The sequence below is a fragment of the Homo sapiens genome, chromosome 1 (genome assembly GCF_000001405.40).
Source record: "Homo sapiens chromosome 1, GRCh38.p14 Primary Assembly".
Taxonomy (NCBI): Eukaryota; Metazoa; Chordata; class Mammalia; order Primates; family Hominidae; genus Homo; species Homo sapiens.
Genome location: NC_000001.11, coordinates 210,092,914 through 210,115,274, shown reverse-complemented (window position 1 = coordinate 210,115,274; position 22,361 = coordinate 210,092,914). Strand labels below are relative to the sequence as shown.

General features: G+C 39.0%; 1 protein-coding gene across 17 annotated transcripts in view, besides 1 other annotated feature; it reads right to left on the bottom strand.

Moving 5' to 3' along the window:
* The window catches only part of SYT14 (synaptotagmin 14), a 233,173-nt gene that overhangs the window by 56,115 nt on the left and 154,697 nt on the right, over nt 1-22,361 (bottom strand). For 12 of the 17 annotated variants that reach the window (NM_001397545.1, NM_001256006.3, NM_001146261.4 and 9 more), the window contains 2 exons: nt 20,682-20,953; nt 14,814-15,263 (listed from right to left, as the gene is read on the bottom strand). In NM_001397545.1, the coding sequence (NP_001384474.1) occupies nt 14,814-15,263; nt 20,682-20,953 (722 nt within the window). Of the gene's footprint in view, nt 1-14,507; nt 15,264-20,681; nt 20,954-22,361 lie in introns of those variants that run through there. The other 5 variants (XM_047417076.1, XM_047417063.1, NR_027459.3 and 2 more) reach the window with 4 other exon arrangements.
* Nucleotides 3,624-4,143: an enhancer, noted in NCBI's record as "NANOG hESC enhancer chr1:210284477-210284996 (GRCh37/hg19 assembly coordinates)". NCBI's record gives its function as "activates a minimal SCP1, AML or CMV promoter by ChIP-STARR-seq in naive H9 embryonic stem cells {active_cell/tissue: H9 hESC(naive)}" and the evidence as "EXISTENCE:reporter gene assay evidence [ECO:0000049][PMID:30033119]".

Sequence of the window (22,361 nt, the reverse complement as noted above, 5' to 3'; positions counted from 1 at the left end):
CCTTCTTCTCCCTTAGCCTGTGTTCTCAAGAACTTAAAACCTCTTCAACTCACACCTGACCTAAAACCTAAATGCCTTATTTTGTTCTGCAATGCTGCTTAACCCCAATACAAACTCGACAATGGTTCCAAATAGCCAGAAAATGGCACTTTCGATTTTTCCATCCTACAAGATCTAGATAATTCTTGTCGTAAAATGGGCAAATGGTCTGAGATGCCTGATGTCCAGGCATTCTTTTACACATCAGTCCCTCCCTAGTCTCTGTTCCCAATGCAACTCGTCCCAAATATTCCTTCTTTCCCTCCTGCCTGTCCCCTCAGTCCCAACCCTAAGCATTGCTAAGTCTTTCCAATCTTCCTTTTCTATGGACCCATCTGACCTCTCCCCTCCTCCCCAGGCTGCTCCTTGCTAGGCCGAGCCAGGTCCCAATTCTTCCTCATTCTCTGCTCCCCCACCCTATAATCCTTTTATCACCTCCCCTCCTCACACCTGGTCCAGTTTACAGTTTTGTTCCATGACTAGCCCTCCCTGACCTGCCCAACAATTTCATCTTAAAGAGGTGGCTGGAGCTAAAGGCACAGTCAAGGTTAATGCTCCTTTTTCTTTATCCGACCTCTCCCATATCAGTTAGCGTTTAGGCTCCTTTTTATCAAATATAAAAACTCAGCCCAGTTCATGGCCCGTTTGGCAACAACCCTTAGATGCTTTACAGCCCCAGACCCTGAAGGGTCAGAAGGCCATCTTATTCTCAATATGCATTTTATTACCCAATCTGCTCCCAATATTAAATAAAGCTCCAAAAATTAAATTCCAGCCCTCAAACCCCACAACAGGACTTGATTAACCTCGCCTTCAAGGTGTACAATAATAGAGAAGAGTTGCAATTACCTGCCTCTGCTGTGAGAGGAACCCCAGCCACATCTCCAGCACACAAGAACTTCAAAACACCTAAGCCACAGTGGTCAGGCGTTCCTTCAGGACCTCCTCCCCCAGGATCTTGCTTTAAGTGCTGGAAATCTGGCCACTGGGCCAAGGAATGCCTGCAGCCCGGGATTCCTCCTAAACCATGTCCCATCTGTGAGGGACCCCACTGGAAATCGGACTGTCCAGCTTGCCTGGCAGCCACTCCCAGAGTCCCTGGAACTCTAGCCCAAGGCTCTCTGACTGACTCCTTCCCAGATCTTCTCGGCATAGCGGCTGAAGACTGACACTGCCCGATTGCCTCAGAAGCCTCCTGGACCAACACAGACTCTTTCAGTAACTCTTACAGTGGAAGGTAAGTCCGTCCCCTTCTTAATCAATGTGGAGGCTACCAACTCCACATTACTTTCTTTTCAAGGGCCTATTTTCTTTGCCTCCATAACTGTTGTGGGTATTGATGGCCAGGCTTCTAAACCTCTTAAAACTCCCCAACTCTGGTGCCAACTTGGACAACATTCTTTTATGCGCTCCTTTTTAGTTATCCCCACCTGCCCAGCTCCCTTATTAGGTGGAGACATTTCAACTAAATTATCTGCTTCCCTGACTATTCCTAGGCTACAGCCACACCTCATTGCCACCCTTTTCCCCAGTTCAAAGCTTCCTTCACATCCTCCCCTTCTATCTCCCCACCTTAATCCACAAGTATGGGACACCTCTACTCCCTCCTTAGCAACCGATCATGCACCCCTTACCATCTCATTAAAACCTAATCACCCTTACCCCGCTCAACACCAATATCCCATCCCACAGTATGCTTTAAAAGGATTAAAGCCTGTTATCACTTGCCTGTTACAGCATGGCCTTTTAAAGCCTATAAACTCTCCTTACAATTCACCCATTTTACCTGTCCAAAAACCGGACAAGTCTTACAAGTTAGTTCAGGATCTGTGCCTTATCAACTAAATTGTTTTGCCTATCCACCTCATGGTGCCAAACCCATATACTCTCCTATCCTCAGTACCTCCCTCCACAACCCCTCCACAACCCATTATTCTGCTCTAGATAAACCTAGCTGACCCCACAGATCCTAAATCCTTTCCCCACTCCCCTTTCCATTCCTTAAAAAACAGCTCCCACACTAGCTCTCCCTAACTCATCACTCCCTTTTCATTACACACAGCCGAAGTGCAGGGCTGTGCGGTCAGAGTTCTTACACAAGAGCCGGGACCACGCCCTGTAGCCTTTTTGTCCAAACAACTTGACCTTAGTGTTTTAGCTTAGCTCTCATGTCTGCGTGCGGCGGCTGCCGCTGCTTTAATACTTTTAGAGGCCCTCAAAATAAAAAACTATGCTCAACTCACTCTCTACAGTTCTCAAAACTTGCAAAATCTATTTTCTTCCTCACACCTGACGCATATACTTTCTGCCCCCTTCCACCACCTCTCAGCAAGCTGAACTCATTGCCTTGACTCGAGCCCTCACTCTTGCAAAAGACTACATGTCAATATTTATACTGACTCTAAATATGCCTTCCATATCCTGCACCACCATGCTGTTATATAGGCAAAAAGAAGTTTCCTCACTACGCAAGGGTCCTCCATCATTAATGCCTCTTTAATAAAAACTCTTCTCAAGGCTGCTTTACTTCCAAAGGAAGCTGGAGTCATTCACTGCAAGGGCCATCAAAAGGCATCAGATCCCATCGCTCAGGGCAACACTTCTGCTGACAAGGTAGCTAAAGCAGCAGCTAGCTTCCAACTTCCGTCCCTCACTGTCAGTTTTTCTCCTTCTCATCGGTCACTCCCAAATACTCCCCCACTACAACTTCCACTTATCAATCTCTTCCGACACAAGGCAAATGGTTTTTGGACCAAGGAAAGTATCTCCTTCCGGCCTCATAGGCCCATTCTATTCTGTCATTATTTCATAACCTCTTCCATGTAGGTTACAAGCCACTAGCCTGCCTCTTAGAACCTCTCATTTCCTTTCCATCGTGGAAATCTGTCCTCAAGAAAATCACTTCTCAGTGTTCCATCTGCTATTCCACTCCTCCTCAGGGATTGTTCAGGCCCCCTCCCTTCCCTACACATCAAGCTCGGGGATTTGCCCCTGCCCAGGACTGGCAAATTGACTTAACTCACATGCCCTGAGTCAGGAAACTAAAATACCACTTGGTCTGGGTAGACACTTCCACTGGATGGGTAGAGGCCTTTCCCACAGGGTCTGAGAAAGCCACTGCAGTCATTTCTTCCCTTCTGTGAGACATAATTCCTTGGTTTGGCCTTCCCACCTCTGTACAGTCTGATAACGGACCGGCCTTTACTAGTCAAATCTCCCAAGCAGTTTCTCAGGCTCTTGGTATTCAGTGAAACCTTCATGCCCCTTACCACCCTCAACCTTCAGGAAAGATAAAATGGACTAATGGTCTTTTAAAAACACACCTCACCTCACAGCCTCCAACTTAAAAAGGAGGACTATATTAAGGATAGAACCCAAAAACTTGCCAACAAAGCAAGTAATTCCGCTGAACCCCCTTAGGCACTCTCTAATTGGATGTCCTGGGTCCTCCCAATTCTTAGTCCTTTAATATCTGTTTTTCTCCTATTATTCGGACTTCGTGTCTTCTGTTTACTTTTTCAATTCATACAAAACCGCATCCAGGCCATCACCAATCATTCTATACAACAAATGTTTCTTCTAACAACCCTACAGTATTACCCCTTACCACAAAATCTTCCTTCAGCTTAATCTCTCCTACTCTAGGTTCCCATGCCGAACCTAATCCCGCTCGAAGCAGCCCTGAGAAACATTGCCCATTATCTCTCCATACCACCCCCAAAAATGTTCGCCACCCCAACACTTCAACAGTATTTTGTTTTATTTTTCTTATTAAGAAAACAATGTCAGGCCTCTGGGCCCAAGCCTGCATGTATACATCCAGATGGCCTGAAGTAACTGAATGACAAAAGAAGTGAAAATGGCCGGTTCCTGCCTTAACTGATGACATTACCTTGTGAAATTCCTTCTCCTGGCTCAGAAACTCCCCCACTGAGCACCTTGTGACACCCACCCCTGCCCACCAGAGAACAACCCCCTTTGACTGTAATTTTTCCACTACCCACCCAAATCCTATAAAATGGCCCCACCCCTATCTCCCTTCACTGACCCTCTTTCTGGACTCAGCCCGCCTGCACCCAGGTGATTAAAAAGCTTTATTGCTCACACAAAGCCTGTTTGGTGGTCTCTTCACACAGACGTGTGTGAAAATTAGTACCGGATTTTGGGTTTACATAGATAAGTTAAATGGTTTATGTTAATGTGGTGGCTCACACCTGTAATCCCAGCACTCTGGGAGACCAAGGCAGGCAGATCACCTGAAGTCGGGAGTTCAAGACCAGCCTGACCAACATGGAGAAACCCCATCTCTACTAAAAATACAAAGTTAGCTGGGTGTGGTGGCGCATGCCTGTAATCCCAGCTACTCGGGAGGCTGAGGCAGGAGAATTGCTTGAACCCAGGAGGCAGAGGTTGTGGTAAGCTGAGATCGCGCCATTGCACTCCAGTCTGGGCAACAAGAACGAAACTCTGTCTCAAAAATAAGAATAACAATCTAATATATTTCTATAAAGATATGATTTAAATTAGACTTGTGAAATCTGAGATTTAAATAGAACCAAATTATGACTGAGATTGACATTTTAGTATAATCCTTTACTATGTCTCCTTGGTACCCCTGATCTACGATAAACTCTTCTAGAACTTTAATCTTTGCTTTGGACTCCCAACACCTTGTTTAATTGAAACAGAATTCTTCCTGGAGGATACTTCATTCCCTCTTGACTTTTCATTCTGGTTATTCCCTCATATCCCAAGTGACTCAAGATCAGGAAGCAAAGTTCTCTGCTGTTTCTCAAGCATTGCTCCTCTAAAAGTTGTGGAAAAGAATAACTATTTTCCTTTAAAGTTTGTATCATCCTGTCCTCCTATTTTGTCCTCCTGGACATTTCATCTTCATTCCTTGAACATTTCTTCTTTGTTCCTTGAGGAAAATGGTCCTTGATTCAATCTTCTTTTAAAAATTTTTTTTATTATACTTTAAGTTCTGGGATACATGTGCAGAATCTGCAGGTTTGTTACGTAGGTATACACGTGCCATGGTGGTTTGCTGCAACCATCAACCCATCATCTACATTAGGTATTTCTCCTAATGCTATCCCTCCCCTAACCCTCAATCCCCTGACAGGCCTCGGTGTGTGATGTTCCCCTCCCTGTGTCCATGTGTTCTCACTGTTCAACTCCCACTTATGAGTGAGAACATGTGGTGTTTGGTTTTCTGTTCCTGTGTTAGTTTGCTGAGAATGATGGTTTCCAGCTTCATCCATGTCCCTGCAAAGGACATGAACTCATCCTTTTCTATGGCTGCATAGTATTCCATGGTGTGTATGTGCCACATTTTCTTTATCCAGTCTATCACTGATGGGCATTTGGGTTGGTTCCAAGTTTTGCTATTGTGAACAGTGCTGCAATAAACATACATGTGTACGTGTCTCTATAGCAGAATGATTTACAATCCTTTGGGTATATACTCAGCAATGGGAATGCTGGGCAAAATGGTATTTCTGGTTCTAGATCCTTGAGGAATCATCACACTGTCTTCCACAATGGCTGAACTAATTTACACTCCCACCAACAGTGTAAAAGCATTCTTATTTCTCTAGCATCTGTTGTTTCCTTTTTGTTGTTGTTGTTTTGTTTTTTCTCTCTTTTTTTTTTTTTTGAGACAGAGTCTTGCTCTGTTGCCAAGCTGGAATGCAGTGCTGCAATCTTGGCTCACTGCAACCTCCACCTCCTAGGTTCAAGTGATTCCCCTGCCTCAGCGTCCCGAATAGCTGGGACTACAGGTGCGCGCAACCATGCCCAGCTAATTTTTTGTGTTTTATTAGCGACGGGATTTCACCATGTTGGCCAGGATGGTTTCAACCTCCTGACCTTGTCATCTGCCCACCTCAGCCTCCCATAGTGCTAGGATTACAGGTGTGAGCCAACGCGCCCGGTCTGTTTTCTGCCTTTTTAATGATCGCCATTCTAACTGGAGTGAGATGGTATCCTGTGGTTTTTGATTTGCATTTCTCTAATGCCTAGTAATGATGAGCTTTTTTTCATACGTTTGTTGGCCACGTAAATGTCTTCTTTTGAGAAGTGTCTGTTCATATCCTTTGCCCACTTTTTGATGGAGTTGTTTTTTTCTTGTAAATTTGATTCTGGATTCAACCTTCTTACACTTCAACTTCCGTCATCATCTTTTGTAACTTCAGTGTCCACTCAGCCTATCTAAGAACCTAGCCCTCTTGAAAATTATCCCTCTCCAGTAATTGTACCTTTTACTCTATCTCAGATGCCCACTTCCACCATCACACTCTGGACCCTTCTCCTTCCACATCATATGAACTGAAAACATTCCCCTTTCAACCAGTCTGCCATCCTTCAACACTTCTTGCTTAGCTACTCCTCTCACAACTCTTTCTTGATATCCTTGGGACTTTCAGTCCACTAACCTTTCTACTTCTCCTGCCCATAATCCCCTTTCTGGCTTCACTTCTCTCTTATTTCATGATCTACCATTTAAGTAAATCTCTTGAAAATACTCTAACACTTTTGCCTCTCTGTTTATATCCCAAACACATTGATTAATGGCTCTCTTCAGTTATTTGTCCTTTTTTTTTTTAATCAAATCATTTGCATTAGTATTTAAACATGCCCAAGGCTCTCCTCACCTCAAAAACATTCTCCCTAAACCCTCACTTTCCAAATACTGTTCTCTCTTTCTTCCTATTGTTATAGCCAGATTTGGTGAAAAAACTGTCTAAATGACTGCCACTCTCGTTTGGATTCTAGCCCCTTCACAATATCAAAATTAGCCCCTGAAAAGCTATCTATGACTTCCATATCCTAAATCCAACACACAGTTTTTAATATTCAGATTATTCTTTCCATCATCAACATCTGACAAAGCTGATTATTCCTTCCTTCATGAACTTCATTCTTGGCTTTCATGATCTCTTATTGCCTCTTTCTTCCTACTTTACCTCTCTTTTCTCCAATTTTTAAATCTAGGGGTTCCTGAAGATCTCTTCTCACCCAAGACAATCATGTACTCTCATGTCTACTTCCAGAACTGCTTTGTGTTCACACAGAAGTGTAAGCAAGAGCCAGATTTAATGAAATACAGACATCTAAGAAAATATTAAGTACCCTCTATCATTAGAACTTAAGAAAATTTAAGTTTTCACTGTGGTCCTGTGTTTTCTCCCATCCCTTCAAGGACTTAAATAATCCAGCAAGGAACTTATTTACTTATTCATCCCCACCAAACTGACCAGGGTCCAAATTCCCTGGCCCTTTCTGACCCTCCATTTTTTAACTGACAAATGATTATCATAAAAAAACAAAGACAGAAATAAACAAAGATAGAAGTAAAAAAAAATCACCATAAACCTAAACCTAAATTGCTATTAGGTAAACATCCTGCAGGCATCATTCTATGAATATATACTAACAGAAAAAGGAATAGAAATACTTTTATAAAAATAGGATCAAACTATAGCTATTTTATTTAAAAATCCATTTTACCTTACATAAATTTAATAGAAAAAAATGAAATAAAATGAATAGTTGAACTTTACATAAATATTTCTTCCTTGCTGATTATTTTCTAAATAATCCTTCTCTAAGTTAAATAGGAGAGGGTTAGTCATTTTTCTTAACTACATTAGCATATTAGCATTCTTACATTTCTTCCCATCTGCCCTATGTCTGCCTTCCAGTTAAAAAAATCAAATACAGTATTTTTTATACTGTCCAGATTTATAGCTATGATAGACACTGTGATACACTGTCAATCAAATGTCAGTATGGTTTTGTTTTGAATTGTGAGGACATAAGATGTGGGAGGGGCCAAGGGTAGAATGATATGGTTTGGCTGTTTCTCCACTCAAGTTTCACCTTGAATTGTAGTTGACAATTGTAATTGTCAATAGATAATTCCCTATCTATCTACAAAGAGACTGTTGCCCTAGCTGTCAGGAGGGCTGTTGTTGGAAGACAGCCTTCAATGTCAGTCCCTTCAGGAACTGATTCAACTGTAAAGAACTGCCTCACCCAAGGTCACCCTTTCAGGGGTGCCCAAGGCTGTGGGAGCCCATCTCTTGCATCAGCATGACCTGGATGTCAGACATGGAGTCAAAGCAGATCATTTTGGAATTTTAAGGTTTAATGACTGCTCTATTGGATTTTGGACTTGGCATGGGGCCCGTAGCCCCTTTGTTTTGGCCAATTTCTCCCACTTGGAACAGGTGTATTTACTCAATGCCTGTACCTCCATTGCATCTAAGAAGTAACTAACTTGCTTTTTATTTCACAGGCTCATAGGTGGAAGGGACTTGCCTTGTCTCACATGAGACTTTGGACTTGGACTTTTGACTTAATGCTAGAATGAGTTAAGACTTTGGGGGACTGTTGGGAAGGCAGGATTTTGTTTTGAAATGTGAGGGCATGAGATTTGCGGGGGTGGCCAAGGGCAGAATGATATGGTTTGGCTGTTTCCCCACCCAAGTCTCACCTTGGATTGTAGTTCCCATAATCCCGCCTCCATGGGAGGAACCCTGTGGGACATAATTTAATCATGGGGGCAGTTACCCTTATGCTGTTCTCATAAGAGTGAGTTCGTTCTCAAGAGATCTGATGGTTTTATAAGGGGCTTTTCCCCCTTTTCCTTGGCACTTCTCCTTGTTGCCGCCATGTGGAGAAGGACATGTTTGCTTCCCCTTCTGCCATGATTGTAAGTTTCAAGATGCCTCCCCAGCCCTGTGGAACTGTGAGTCAATTAAACCTCTTTCCTTTATAAATTACCCAGGCTTGGGTATGTCTTTATTAGCATCATGAGAACAGACTAATACAAGCGGCAACCAACATGCAATGACTGACTGATGGGAGTATAAAGGCCTGGCCATCTCAGCCCAAATGGGGACAACTCTGAGGGACTATTTTAGTTCCAGAATTCCCTGGGGGTAGGCTAAGACTGTCTTTGGGCATGCACTGCAGCTTGACTTCTCTCTGCCCAATCCTGCTTCCATCTCCTCTTTTACAAGTATGAATCCCAAGAGCACTCCTTAACAAACATTTGGCACACTAAACTCCCTCTCAGAGTCTGCTTCCCAGGTAATCAAATCTGCAACACATATGGTGCCTTAGATTCTTTCAGAAGAAGGCAACTGTGTTAGTCAATTCCCTGCTGTGTTAGGCCATTCTTATGTTGTTAAAAAGACATACCTGGGCAATTTATAAAGAAAAGACGTTTAATTGGCTCACAGTTCTGCAGGCTGTACAAGCATGGTGCAGCAATCTGCTCAGCTTCTGGGGAGGCCACTGGGAGCTTTTACTCTCAGCAGAAGGCAAAAATGGAAGCAGGCATGTCACATGAAGAGAGCAAGAGTGAGAGAGGGAGAGGGGGAGATGCCACAGACCTTTAAACAATCAGATCTCATGAGAAATAATTTACTATCGTGAGGACGGCAGCAAGAGGATGGTGCTAAACCACTCATGAGAAATCTGCCCCCAGGATCCAATCACCTTCCACCAGGCCCCACCTCCAACATTGGGGATTACATTTCGACATGTTCAACATGAGATTTGGAGGGGAAATCCAAACTATATTACCTGCTTCATCTGATTCTCGACCGCAGGGGTTAATGTACTCCTTAGTCAGAAGAGCAAATGTTTTATCAGCCAGGGTAGATTATGCTATAGTAACAGAGAACTCCAAATTCTCAGCAGCTTAATTCAACAATGGTTTACTTCCTCCTTATACAACATATCGATTTTGGATTGGCAACAGAGGCTTCCTTCAAAGCTCAAAGAGGCCCCATTTCCACACATGCTTCCATAGTAGTGAATGCATTATTCTGATTCTTAAAGGTTACGAGCAGAAGATAAAAGCAAGTCACCTGGCCACACCTGAGTTCAACAGAGTGGTAATCTATGCTGCTTTTGCAGAGAGGAGCAACAGACCTTACCAAAGCAGGCTACATGCCGGAGTTGACTCACAAGTCATAGTTTGCAAACCCTGGTCAAAAGCAGTGATTCACAAACTTTAATGTATATCAGAATCATGTACAGTGCTTGTTAAAATGCAGATTGCTGGGCCCTACCCTCAGTGTTTTTTTTAATTCAGAAAGTTTCGGAGAGGGAATGAGAATCTGCACTTCTATCAAGTTCCTATGTGATGATGTTGGTCCAGGAATCATACTTCGAGAACCATTTGTCTACAGAAAAAAAAACTTAACAGGTACGCCTGCTGCTCATCTATTAATGTAGAGAACCTTATTTCAAGATGAAACACATCACAGCTTTGTCAAATATCAGTTTTCCTAAAAGGCAACTCACCAAAAACCATATATATAATAATGAAAATAAACCAAGGATTTAATAAAGACTCCTATATTCTGAGAATTGTCCAATAGCCTCACTATTATTATTGCTAGCCACTCTGAAGAGATCAGAATTAAGTACTGTTTGTACAGGAAGGGTTGTGTGTATGTTTGTGAGATAAAGAATAGAGTTTCATTATTAATCAATCAATAAATGTAATAATATTAACAAATCTAATAAGCTGAAATTAGACATAAAACCAGGATGAGGAAAAAGGGAAAGGTTATTTTATGCAACTGTTAGAGAGTAATATAGTACCAAAAATGCAAGTGAAGAAATTAATTGGGGTTAAATACTAAGAAAGAGTGCCATCTGAACAAAGCTGTGTATATAAGAGTTCAAATTATGAGAGGGATATATGCCATGGTAGGAAGGATAACTGAAAACATTCTAGCTACTGAGTTTGGCATAAGACAGTACTAAAGCAAGTAAATAGTAAACCATATGGCTATTTCACGATTCTTATTTGAAAACAACAGACGCTAACTCTGACTCATAAAGTGGAATAGTAATTTATTAAAGGACTAGGGATGAATAAAGAACCAAGTTAATGGTTAAGCTTCTCAAGAATGAAGTCTACAAACCATACTACAGAATTGGTCAGGTGAGGAAAACCTGCTGCTGTTCTCACTGGATTCTTTTCTGCCAAGGACTTTCCTCTACTGCAACTGTTAGTGGCCCAGCACCAATACCATTTCTGCATCAGCAGAGCTATTTTATAACAGAATTACTATTGCCTCTGAACACCAGATACCTCCACCATCAACTTCATGGAAACATGATCTGACTGCAGTGTCTGCTTCTTTGTTCAGTCTGTATTGAGGTTTCCAGAAAATAAGTATGAGTGGCAGAGTCTAGGTCACACAGCTCCTGCCATATCTACCAGTGAGACGGGGAAAGTCAATTTTATGGCTTACCTTAGGGAGGTAGACATGGTTATTCCCAGATAGTTACTGAAAAGGTAGAAGAGAAAACATAATACATGTCTGCCACAAAATGTCATATCACGCATACAAAACTCATCTAAAATTCACCAATTTCTGTTCCTGCCTAACTCCATTCCCAATATATACTAGCATAATTAGACAATATCAGAGATGGATAGGCCTTTAGAGATCACTTGGTCTAATCCTCTGATTTCACTAATGAGAAACCTGATGCCCAAAATAATCAGATGATTTACTTAGTTTACAGGGCTAGTCAGTAGAAAGAAATTATGCTTTTTAAACTCTTAAGTATATTTTCTATCATGCATTGATCAAGAAGGCACACTTCAAACTATATCTTAATGTTAAACTCTTTTTTTTTTTTTTTTTTTGAGACAGAGTCTTGCTCTGTCATCCAGGCTGGAGTGCAGTGGCGTGATCTCAGCTCACTGCAAGCTCCGCCTCCTGGGTTCACACCATTCTCCTGTCTCAGCCTCCCGAGTAGCTGGGACTACAGGCACCTGCCACCACGCCCGGCTAATTTTTTGTATTTTTAGTAGAGACGGGGTTTCATCGTGTTAGCCAGGATGGTCTCAATCTCCTGACCTCATGATCTGCCCACCTCGGCCTCCCAAAGTGTTGGGAATACAGGTGTGAGCCACTGCGCCCGGCCTTAATGTTAAACTTTAATCTTATTCTCAGGGAAACTCACTGTTTAGTTCTCAGAAAGTCATTTTGGTGACATTGGTCTTTTTTTTCTCTCAATCAGTTCCTGCAAAACTAGCTATAAAACTAAATTTTATATGCAAAATTCTATTTTCCTATTATCTATGAAAAAAACTGTAAGTTTAAATGTGTTTTAATGGTAGTTTGCAAGTTCTTTGGCTGGATTAAAACTTTTCCTTGCCAAAAGTTACAATAAAAATGACAACAATAATAAGTGATTATTCAAAAGCTACTAGAAGGCCTGGCATGGTGCCTCATGCCTGTAATCCCAGCGTTTTGGGAGACTGACATGGGAGAATCGCTTCAGGCCAGGAGTTCAAGACTAGCCTGGACAACACAGCAAGACTCGATTTCTAAAAAAAAAAAATTAGCCAGGCCTGGTGGTGTGCACCTGTAGTCCTAGCTATTCGAGAGGCTGAGGTGGGAGGATCACTTAAGCCCAGGAGTTTCAGGCTACAATCAGCCATGATTGCACTACTACACCCCAGCCTGGGTGACCCTGACTTTTCCCAGAGTGAGACCCTGACTCTGGGGAAAAAAAGCAACTAGAACAAATGTTTAATTATGAGTGTATCTCTTACAGATATATTATTGCATCTTACAAAAATTAGAGCCAAACTCACCCAAGTAAACTGCAATTACAAGATCTCCCCACAAAGTTAATATTAAAACTTAAGCAGGGAGAACATTAATACTATAGTATATATAGAATATATACATTCTATTGGTATATTTTAATGACTAAACAACTGATAGCACAGAAGCCAAAAGCAACCAATGAGATTTTGAGAAGGTGGAGAAAGAAGGAAAGTGACAAAAAAGAACAATTAAATACAGGGTACTGAATTTGAGAAGCATGTCAACACAGAGAAAGGGCAGAAGATGGATAGTTTTATTCAAATATAAATGTTACATCTTTAGAGGAGAACGACAGACAATGGGGCCTATCAGAGGGTGGCAGGTGGGAGAAGATAGAGGATCAGGAAAATTAACTATTAGGTCCTGGGCTTTATACCTGGGTGATGAAATAATCTGTAAAACAAACCCCCATGACACAAGTTTACCTATATAACAAACCTGCACACGTACCCCTGAACTTAAAATAAAAGTTAAAAAAAATAAATGTTATGTCTTACAAGCTATTTATTTGGCACTTTTTCCTCAGAAATTATTGTACTGGTTGGCAGAAAAAGATTACAGAATCAATGACTAGAAGCTAACACACGTAATGTAGGTCCATTAAAAAATTGCTTAGTTTGAACAGAGATAAGACAGTATTATTTTCTATGGCTTCATTCTCTTTGTGAAATGAATGTAATTAAAACATAATTAATTGGTAACAGATAAATTACATACCTCTTGATGACAGAGTCTTTCTCTTCTAATTTAAATGAGATTTCTATATAAGCGTTTATTTTCCACAGAGTAACTAGTGATCACTCAGACCAAATAATGAAGAAGTTTAGAAATCATATTAATAACTGTAGATTATTAAATTTTATGAAAAATTCGTTCTTCCCCCCTCCGAAATATTGCCTGAACTCTTTTTTCTCCCCTCTTTTAAGCTGCTATTATTTCTAAAAGGTATTTCCCCAAAATAATTCTGAAAATTTAAAAGGATAACAAGTTATCAATTTTCCCAACAGAGATTAAGTCTTATCCTAGAAACCCATATGAATATACTATATTTACATCATCATTTTGTACTTAAAGACACTGAAATCATTTAGTTAAACTGGTATGGTGTTGACTGTGAATCAAGGTCTTACAACATAAAATGTTGCCTGATGTAAATGAGATGAGACCCTAAACTACTTGGACCGAAGCTTACACATTTAAAAGCTCAAAACAACACTAAAATAGTATACCTTTATTTTAAAATATAAACCTATTCTAAAATCTGTATATTTATATTTTAAAAATGCTTTGTATTCAATATAACAGAGATGAATAAATATAAACCATAATGCACACTTACAGCATATCACAGATTTTTTCATAATCTAAATAACTATGTGGCATAATGTATCTCCCTGGTTTAAATAAACAGTGCAGACATTTCTCTCCTGTGATTTGCAATGCCTTGTGGGAATTTAGTTAAAAATATGAAGACAGAGAGAGATTTATATGTGATTATCATCTGGAGGACAAAAAGAGAAAAGAGAGAACTAGCTCAAAGTACTAAGCTTAAGGGTTCTCCTGAAATACTTTACAATCTGTTTAAAAAGGGTGGAAAGTCTAATGAGGCCAGATTTATTTTGAAATTTTAAAATAATTTCACAGAAGTTCTGGAAACATATCCAGTCGGGACCTAGGGAGCGGTATATATATTCTGTAAGGGCAAATCCTTTCTGCCATACAGCAAATAACATATGGGGCTGATACTTCTTAATGTATTGCCTAGTTTTAACCTGGAAAAAAAATAATAAATTCTATAAGGAGTTTGGATGACTTCATAATCAAACATTTAATAAATGTTCAACAACAACAACAAAAAACATGTAAAACCCTGGGCCAAAACTCTGTGAAGGATAAAATAAAAGACATAAATCACAAATTATCTTCAAGGGCAACTTTTTTAGGTAAGAAAAAGTATATCTATCTATCCAGGGCTTAGATATTTTTGTAAAGGCATGATTACTATGTAAAAAAATAGACTGACAAACTTGTTGGCTTGATTAAAGATTTTTAAAATTGTGCATACTATAAACCATGAACATAAACTGTATTCAGGCCATTTGATGAGATACTCACAGAATGATTGTAAGAAGGTTCCAATATCACAGGCAATGACATTTTCCCTTGAAGATTCAATTTTGTTAAATAAAAAATCTTTTCCCCCACAATCTTTTCTTTTTTCATGCGATGTACACCATACAGTCTAAACCGAACTGCATAATTTCCAATCATCTCAGATTCAACATGATTAAATTTAAATGTTTCTGTGAAGACAGGGCATGGTCCTCTCTGGATGCTGGTTTTTGCTCTCTGTTTCTTTATAGGTAGAAGAACAAGGTGTACTTGCCATGAGTTGCCACCTGTCCTGTTATATGTTGGGATGTCTGTGACAGCTGTCACTGTTACCAGAAGCTTCTGTTCTTGTGAGTCATAGTCAAAAGTCACATCCAGTGTGCCATATTTAGCTTCTGGCTCAGGATCAAAAGGTTTAGGAAGCTGCGAAGATGATCCTTGAGCTGACATATCCTAAGAAAAGAAAATTTAAATGTTAGAGTTTTTAACTCAATTATTTAACCTAGCATGTAAATAAATACTTGATATTTCTTTAGAAGATGTGAAAACAATTCTGCCACAAAGAAAGTAATACAATAATAATTAACAGTCAACTACAACCAAAAGCTACCCTATAGAGCGAGATTAGTACAGGCAGTAAGTTAAATTCAAAACTTATGATAATAAAGACACGTTTAGAATTTAATATTCACCATTACAATTCTGAGAAAGTGTGATGTATGTTTTTATAAATGAGAATTTAAAATATATCCTTTAGTGGGTATATCTGCTCCTTTTGTAGAAAACTACTACATTTTACTTTCAATTTCATTTACAATGCCATTGACAGCACAGTATCAGGCTGCAGAGAAAGAGAACATAAATAAAAGTATAACGCTATGGAAAAATTTGGTTCCGTTTTCAGAGATTGTTCTAAAACACCCCCATCTGTAATAAAATATAAAGATATTTAGACTTAAAAATCAATGGAAATGTGAAATATGAAACTATAAATAAAGGTCTCAAAATATTAGCGGTCAAATATTTACTTTCCATAACATAGACTGTATTTACTTCAATTTCTAAACACAATTAAAAACATATTATTTTCTAACATTAATGACTATTGAAAATGGCAGAACACACATTTTAAAAGTTCAAGAAAGGCTGTAACGGTAGTTTTTAATTATGAAATTAAAAGAAATTATAACCATTTTTCCTGTAATTGTCTCAAATTCTTGCCAGTCTATCTATCTAGAATGTAATAGGGGTTTTAGCTAGTTACCAACAATGTCAAACCTACGTCTCTGACCTTTCAACTATACCACTTTGCCTCTTCAAGTATTTTAATAAATCTTAAATAATTCTCATTTCAAAATGTGGGCCAATTTAATAAATTTCTAAAATTTTCTAAATTTTGAGTGGCAGTGAATACTACTGAATCTCAGTCTTCTCTTTTTCCATTTACGAAACAAAATAAAACAAAACAAAACCTTCCTGAGTGTTAGCTAGAAATACTACCCACAAGATTTGGGGAGCTGAGGCAGGCAGATCACTTGAGGTCAGGAGTTCGAGACCAACCTGGCCAACATGGTGAATCTCTACTAACATGGCCATCTCTACTAAAAATACAAAAATTAACTGGGCATGGGTGGCAGGTGCCTGTAGTCCCAGCTACTCAGGTAGGTGAGGCAGGAGAATCGCTTGAGCCAGGGAGGCAGAGGTCGCAGTGAGCCAAGATCATGCCAGTGGACTCCAGCTTCAGTGACAGGGTGAGAATTTGTGTAAAAAAAAAAAAACACTGTCCACAAGAGACTATACTTCAGCGCCTCTATTATAGCTCATACGACTACATGACTCAGCTTTGGCCAATGGGAGGCAAAAATAATTTACGTGTGAAACATTCAGATCAGGTTTATATAAGAAATTACTTGCTCTCTACTCTCTGTCTCACTCTTCTCACAAGCAGATATACAAACAGGAAGTGTGGGTCAGCTCAGACCATGTGGACTAGGACAATACCCTAGGGGAAGGCAGAGAAACAGAAGAGAAGGAACTGGGTTCCTGAATAATCTCATAGAGCAAAGCCCCCTGCTCACCCTGCACTGTTGTTAAACAAAAGAGAATTAAGTTTCTGTGTTCTTTAGCCATTGTATTTGGTGGGGGCTAGGGGTCTTTTTGTTGTAGCAGCTTAACATGTACCGTAACTACTGTATCTACTATGTGCCAACCCCTATTTTAGGTCGGGAGAGTGCTTCTTTCTGCAGAGAGAACCAAAAAGACATGAGTCCTTAATTTTTTTTTTTTTTTTGACACAGGGTCTTTCTTTGTTTACCAGGCTGGAATGCAATGGCACAATCATGGCTCACTGCAGCCTTGGCCTCCCATGCTCAAGTGATCCTCCTGCCTCAGCCTCCTGAGTAGCTGGAATCACAGGCATACACGACCACACCTGGCTAAATTTTTTGATTTTTAGTAGAGACAAAAGTCTATGTTGCCCAGGCTGGTCTCAAACTCTTGGGCTCAAGGAACCCTCCTGCCTTGGCTTCCCAAAGTGCTGGGATTAAAGGTGTGAGCCACCATGCCCAGTTAGTCCTTGATCTTATAAATCTTATATGCTAGTTGGTATAATGTATGCAGGAAAAAAAACAACAGAAGAACAGTACTTGGGGAGAAGAAATAAATTCCCAAAAGAGAATTCAGTTTTTAATGTAGCATAAGAAAATCAAAACATATTCTTATTCTGTTAAAAAATTTACGGTTTAGAGCAAAATGTGTTAATGTATACTACTTTATAATTGGTAATTAAAGATTATTAATTATATGGCTTTGGTATTTCAATTAAATATTTTCTAAAATAGCATCACGACAGCTAAGATTTTCAGGCAATAAAAATGTTTATCAGGTCCTAGATAGCTATTTTTGAATTTTACTTCTCTTGGTGCCGCCCTGATTGTTTTTTCTTTTTTTTCAAAATTCCAACAACTCTTATGAAACCCAATGTTGAAAGGGTGGAACACTGACAGATAAAAGACATTATCTGCATTCTGAAAACAGGCAATAAGCAAACAATCCTTCCTTTCAAGGTATGGGACCAGTTTTAAAAAATCTTTATTTAGATAGCAATAGGTTATCAACAGCGTTTATAAACTCCTTCCCATGGAATTCTTCTGAACCTTCTCTCCTCTCTCAGTTTAATCATGTATGTAGATAGGCTCTAAGATAGCTACAGCCTGGATTAAACCAAGAGAAAAGTGAGAATTTTCTATCTGACACATAATATCTATTACAAGGATGCAAAATAAACTTGAAAAAACACAAAAGTGAATTTTATATTAGCATAGGCTATCGGCATTCACATCTAAATATTTCTGTAATGTGCATTTGCTATATTGTTTGAGTACATTCAATGCTACTACAGAAGACACAAAAATAAGCAGGACGGAGGAAATTCCAAAGAAGTGGTTACAGATAGCAAGTTAGCAGCTTCTGAAATACAGACAAAACTCACAGTGTGTGATAACTATAGATAGTGAGTAAAGAAGCAGCTTGTGAGACATAGGCAGAATTCATACGATATTAAATATAAATAGTTAATAACTTGTAACATATGCCAAAGAAAGATTAAATAGAAAATCTGACGGATCAAATGAGTGTTACCTATAGAAAGGGATGAAATGCACAAGCCACGATCATGTAGCCTCTGGGCTGACAGCTCTGTCACCCATGTGCTCTACTTAAGAAATGCAGATAAAACCTACAACTGCCTAGTAGGTTGACAAGCTTCACTGGTGGCCAGGAGTATAACTATATCTCTCCCACAAAGCAAACAAGTGTGTGCTGTTGGCTCTTGATACCCTTGTTCAAATTTCAACTCTGGTCCTTGTTACATCATAAATAGGAATGCTGATGGAAAAGAAGACAGTGAGACAGGATGTATGGGCACTGCATAAAACAGGACTCACACAGTGTGGTCTTGCTACCGATACTCACTTACAGCTTATCCCCAGGTGTGTTAATGGATTTCTGATTTCATCCAGCTCCTCTTACTTCTTGCTTTGTATGTGAAATGGACTAAAACACACTCTCTTTCTCTCTCTCTCACACACACACATGCACACACAATAATTTGAGCATCTTACTTTGGTCCTTTACTCCTCTGAGAGAGTTTGCCTGGTAATGTTTGGAGGGTACCACTGAATCAAAGTAATTTCACACACAACATTTTGGATCAAAAAAGGCAATATAATATAGTTGTTAAGAGCACTGTTTTGGCAGTCAGACAGACCTGGGTTGGAACTAAAGTTTCACTATTTAAGAGCTGCTTCTACTTGGTCAAATTGTTTAGCTCTCTGACTCTTAATGTTTTCATTTATAAAATGGAAATAATAACTTCCTAAAGATGTGGTTGTTAGAATTAAATGAGCAGACTACATAAAGCTCATAGCAAAATTCCTGACACAAGTGATGATAGGTATTATTGTTGTTGTTTATTAATCCCACAATCCAGGCTTCACTGTTAACTTGTGAGCTATATATGTAGTTTACAAAGCTACAAAACAGCTGTCTCAAATTTGTTTAGGTAATGGAACACAAAGAAACATTCATCATGAAAAATCATAAAATAATGATATATTAAACTTAAAATATCAGCATACAATTTTCTTCTCGGTCAGATACTGTAATACTAGAAATACTAAAAAAAGCAATAACAGATACAGAGTAGTTTTAACAATTATAGAAGAAAAACCTAAAATTAAGGAAATTCTATCCATAGCTTAATTGTTCTGGGTATTAGGAAACTACACCTATTATTTAATTTTGGCAGCAGATCTGAAAATTCATCTGGTAAGAATACGGACATATTTCAGTATTACTGAATGTTGTCTGGAACAAAAACAGTAAAAACTTGCAATCTAAAACTTTTAAGTAGGCTGGGTGCAGTGGCTTATGCCTGCAAACCCAGCACTTTGGGAGGCTGAAGCAGGAAGATTGCTTGAGCCCAGGAATTTGAGACCAGCCTGGGCAACATAGTGAGAGCCTGTCTCTACAAAAAAATTAAAAAATTTGTGGGTGTGGTGGTGCACACCTGTAGTATCAGTTACTTGGGAAGCTGAGGTGGGAGGAAGCTGCAGTGAGCTGTGACTGTGCCACTGCACTCTGTTCTGAGTGACAGAGACAGACTCTGTCTCAAAACAAAAACAAAAACACTTGAAAGTAAATCTAAATACTAACTTATAAAAACTCTAGATTGTCTTTATATAGTTTTCATTATGACAGAAACATTAAAACAAATTCTTTTTAGAATACAGTAATACTTCAAAACTGCCACAAAATTATTTTTGTTGTAATTTTCACATTTTTGCTCCGAAACAGTAAGTAAACTTAAAGCTCAACCAACCAGCCACTCTGAATGCATGAAGCCATGGATTCAAATTTCATTAGTAAAGCTGATCATCATTTATCCCTTGCATTTTCTATGATATGAAAATACAATAAGATTATTTTGAAAGACTTGTGAAACATTGAGTAACCTCCCAATAGTAAAAAAATCCAAAATAAAATAAAAATAATACAAATAGTAACCTCAAGATGAAATAAACAGGTAAATTATTCCAGAATGTTTTATACAAAGTATTTAAAAAAAACATCTTTAGGTACCCATCTTCTTTTGGTGGTGGGGCTTGGGGTTGGGGAGTGGGGGCAGCTGAAGACTAGTTGGGACATTCCTGATAAGTTTGTTGGATAAAGATTAGATTAAGGATGGATACTGGTACTATAAGTTACAAAGGAATAAGTGATAAAATCAATTCTTCTTACCAAGAGGAGAAGCACAGGATTATTATCCTCCAAATAACATTCATTTTCAAACTTCTATGTGCTTTTACTTACTTCAGGGCTCAGGACTGCAGTGCTGTCACTTGGAACATCTTCTTCATATCCTTTATTATGAAAACTTTCTATTTCATGACCTGTGCTTCCTTCACTTGGGCACTTGTTATATGAGCATCTTGGACTGTTGCTGCAGTGGGAAAATTCACATTTACTGTCCCCAATTTCTGAGGGTGTACATGACAGATGGGGAGAACCACTGTCATCCTGATATGGTGGTGGCTGCAATTCATCCAGCGGGGGTGTTCTTCTCATTCTCTGAATGCAGTTTCCTGATAATGATTAAGAATCTGGTCACTGTTTCCAATTAGCCTCAACACACAGTATAGTCTACAATAATTGTAAATAACTTTTGAAAACTGGATCAAAAAATTGATGGCAACATAACTATTAGATTTACTAATGACTTCTCTTTTTCCCTAGTTCAGAGGCACAAATAAAATGATCTGGTTTCCCACTCCTTGCCTCCTGCATAATAAGATTAGGAAAAATAAAAGTCATATACGAAGAAAGATCCTGTTATGTATCATAAAAATTAGGGAGTGATAAGTATTAAACAGCTTATTTGTCTCTCTCAAAACAATCCCGATGTATACATACTTCATCTATTACCCCATGATCTGTGGCCACCCTAGGGTCAAAGCGATACAAATATGGTTGGAAAAACAAACATAATAATACCTCTGCTTGTTCTTCACCTATGTTCAACAAGAACTCACCTACATTCTTCAGTTACTGAGATGAACTTAAACTAGCATTCAGCTAGCAGTGTCAGAAATGTTTTTCTACATCTGTCCTGGATCCAGAATCCTAGAATGAGGTGCACTGTGAATCAGGCCCATTCCCTGTTTGCGAACATCCATCAATCTGCAAAGACTGGAGGCTGTGTTCTGTCTCTTCTCCATTATAAGGGCACTCTATCCCACTCTACATCTGTGTCTGTATTCTTTATAAATTATGACTCCATCTTGTCTATAGTAGACATCTCTACCTCTAGCAGTTAACATGAAACCACATTTTCTTTCACTCTTAAATTATCCTTTTAATTTTTACCTCAATGATTTACCTCGGTGATTGAGAATAAACATATCTGCGAACAAGGACAGAGTTGGGGGCAGGAGGGAAATAAGGAAACAGAGTCCAGTAAATAATTTAAGAACAGCTAAGTCTTTGTAGATAAATCCTGAATGCAATACTAAACATTAAATTTAAACACTGATCTTTTTTTTTCTTTTAATGAACTGTGCATCTCTTTTCTCAAAAGGGACCCTGAAACAGTAGTTTGTACTATCATTGTTATGGAGTTCAGTTCAAATATTCAATAGTTCCTCTGTTCTTCCTAAGATAAAAAGTTACATAAGAACTATAAGCTTCATTTAAAAATTACCAAAATGCTTGGTTCAAATGAAAAATGATAATTTGCACAAATGTAGCACAAATTTACATATTTGCTCAGAGGCCCCAATTTTGAAAAAAAAAAGAAAAACTAAATGTCTTACCTAGTGAGTCTAATAGTCTAACCACAGAGTCATCTCTCAATATATGTGGGGAACTGGTTCTAACCCCACCATTCCCTTTCAAATACCAAAATGCAAAAATGCTCAAGTACCTGTTATAAAATGGTGTAGTATTTACATATAACCTAAGTACATCCTCCCATATACTTTAAATCATCTCTAT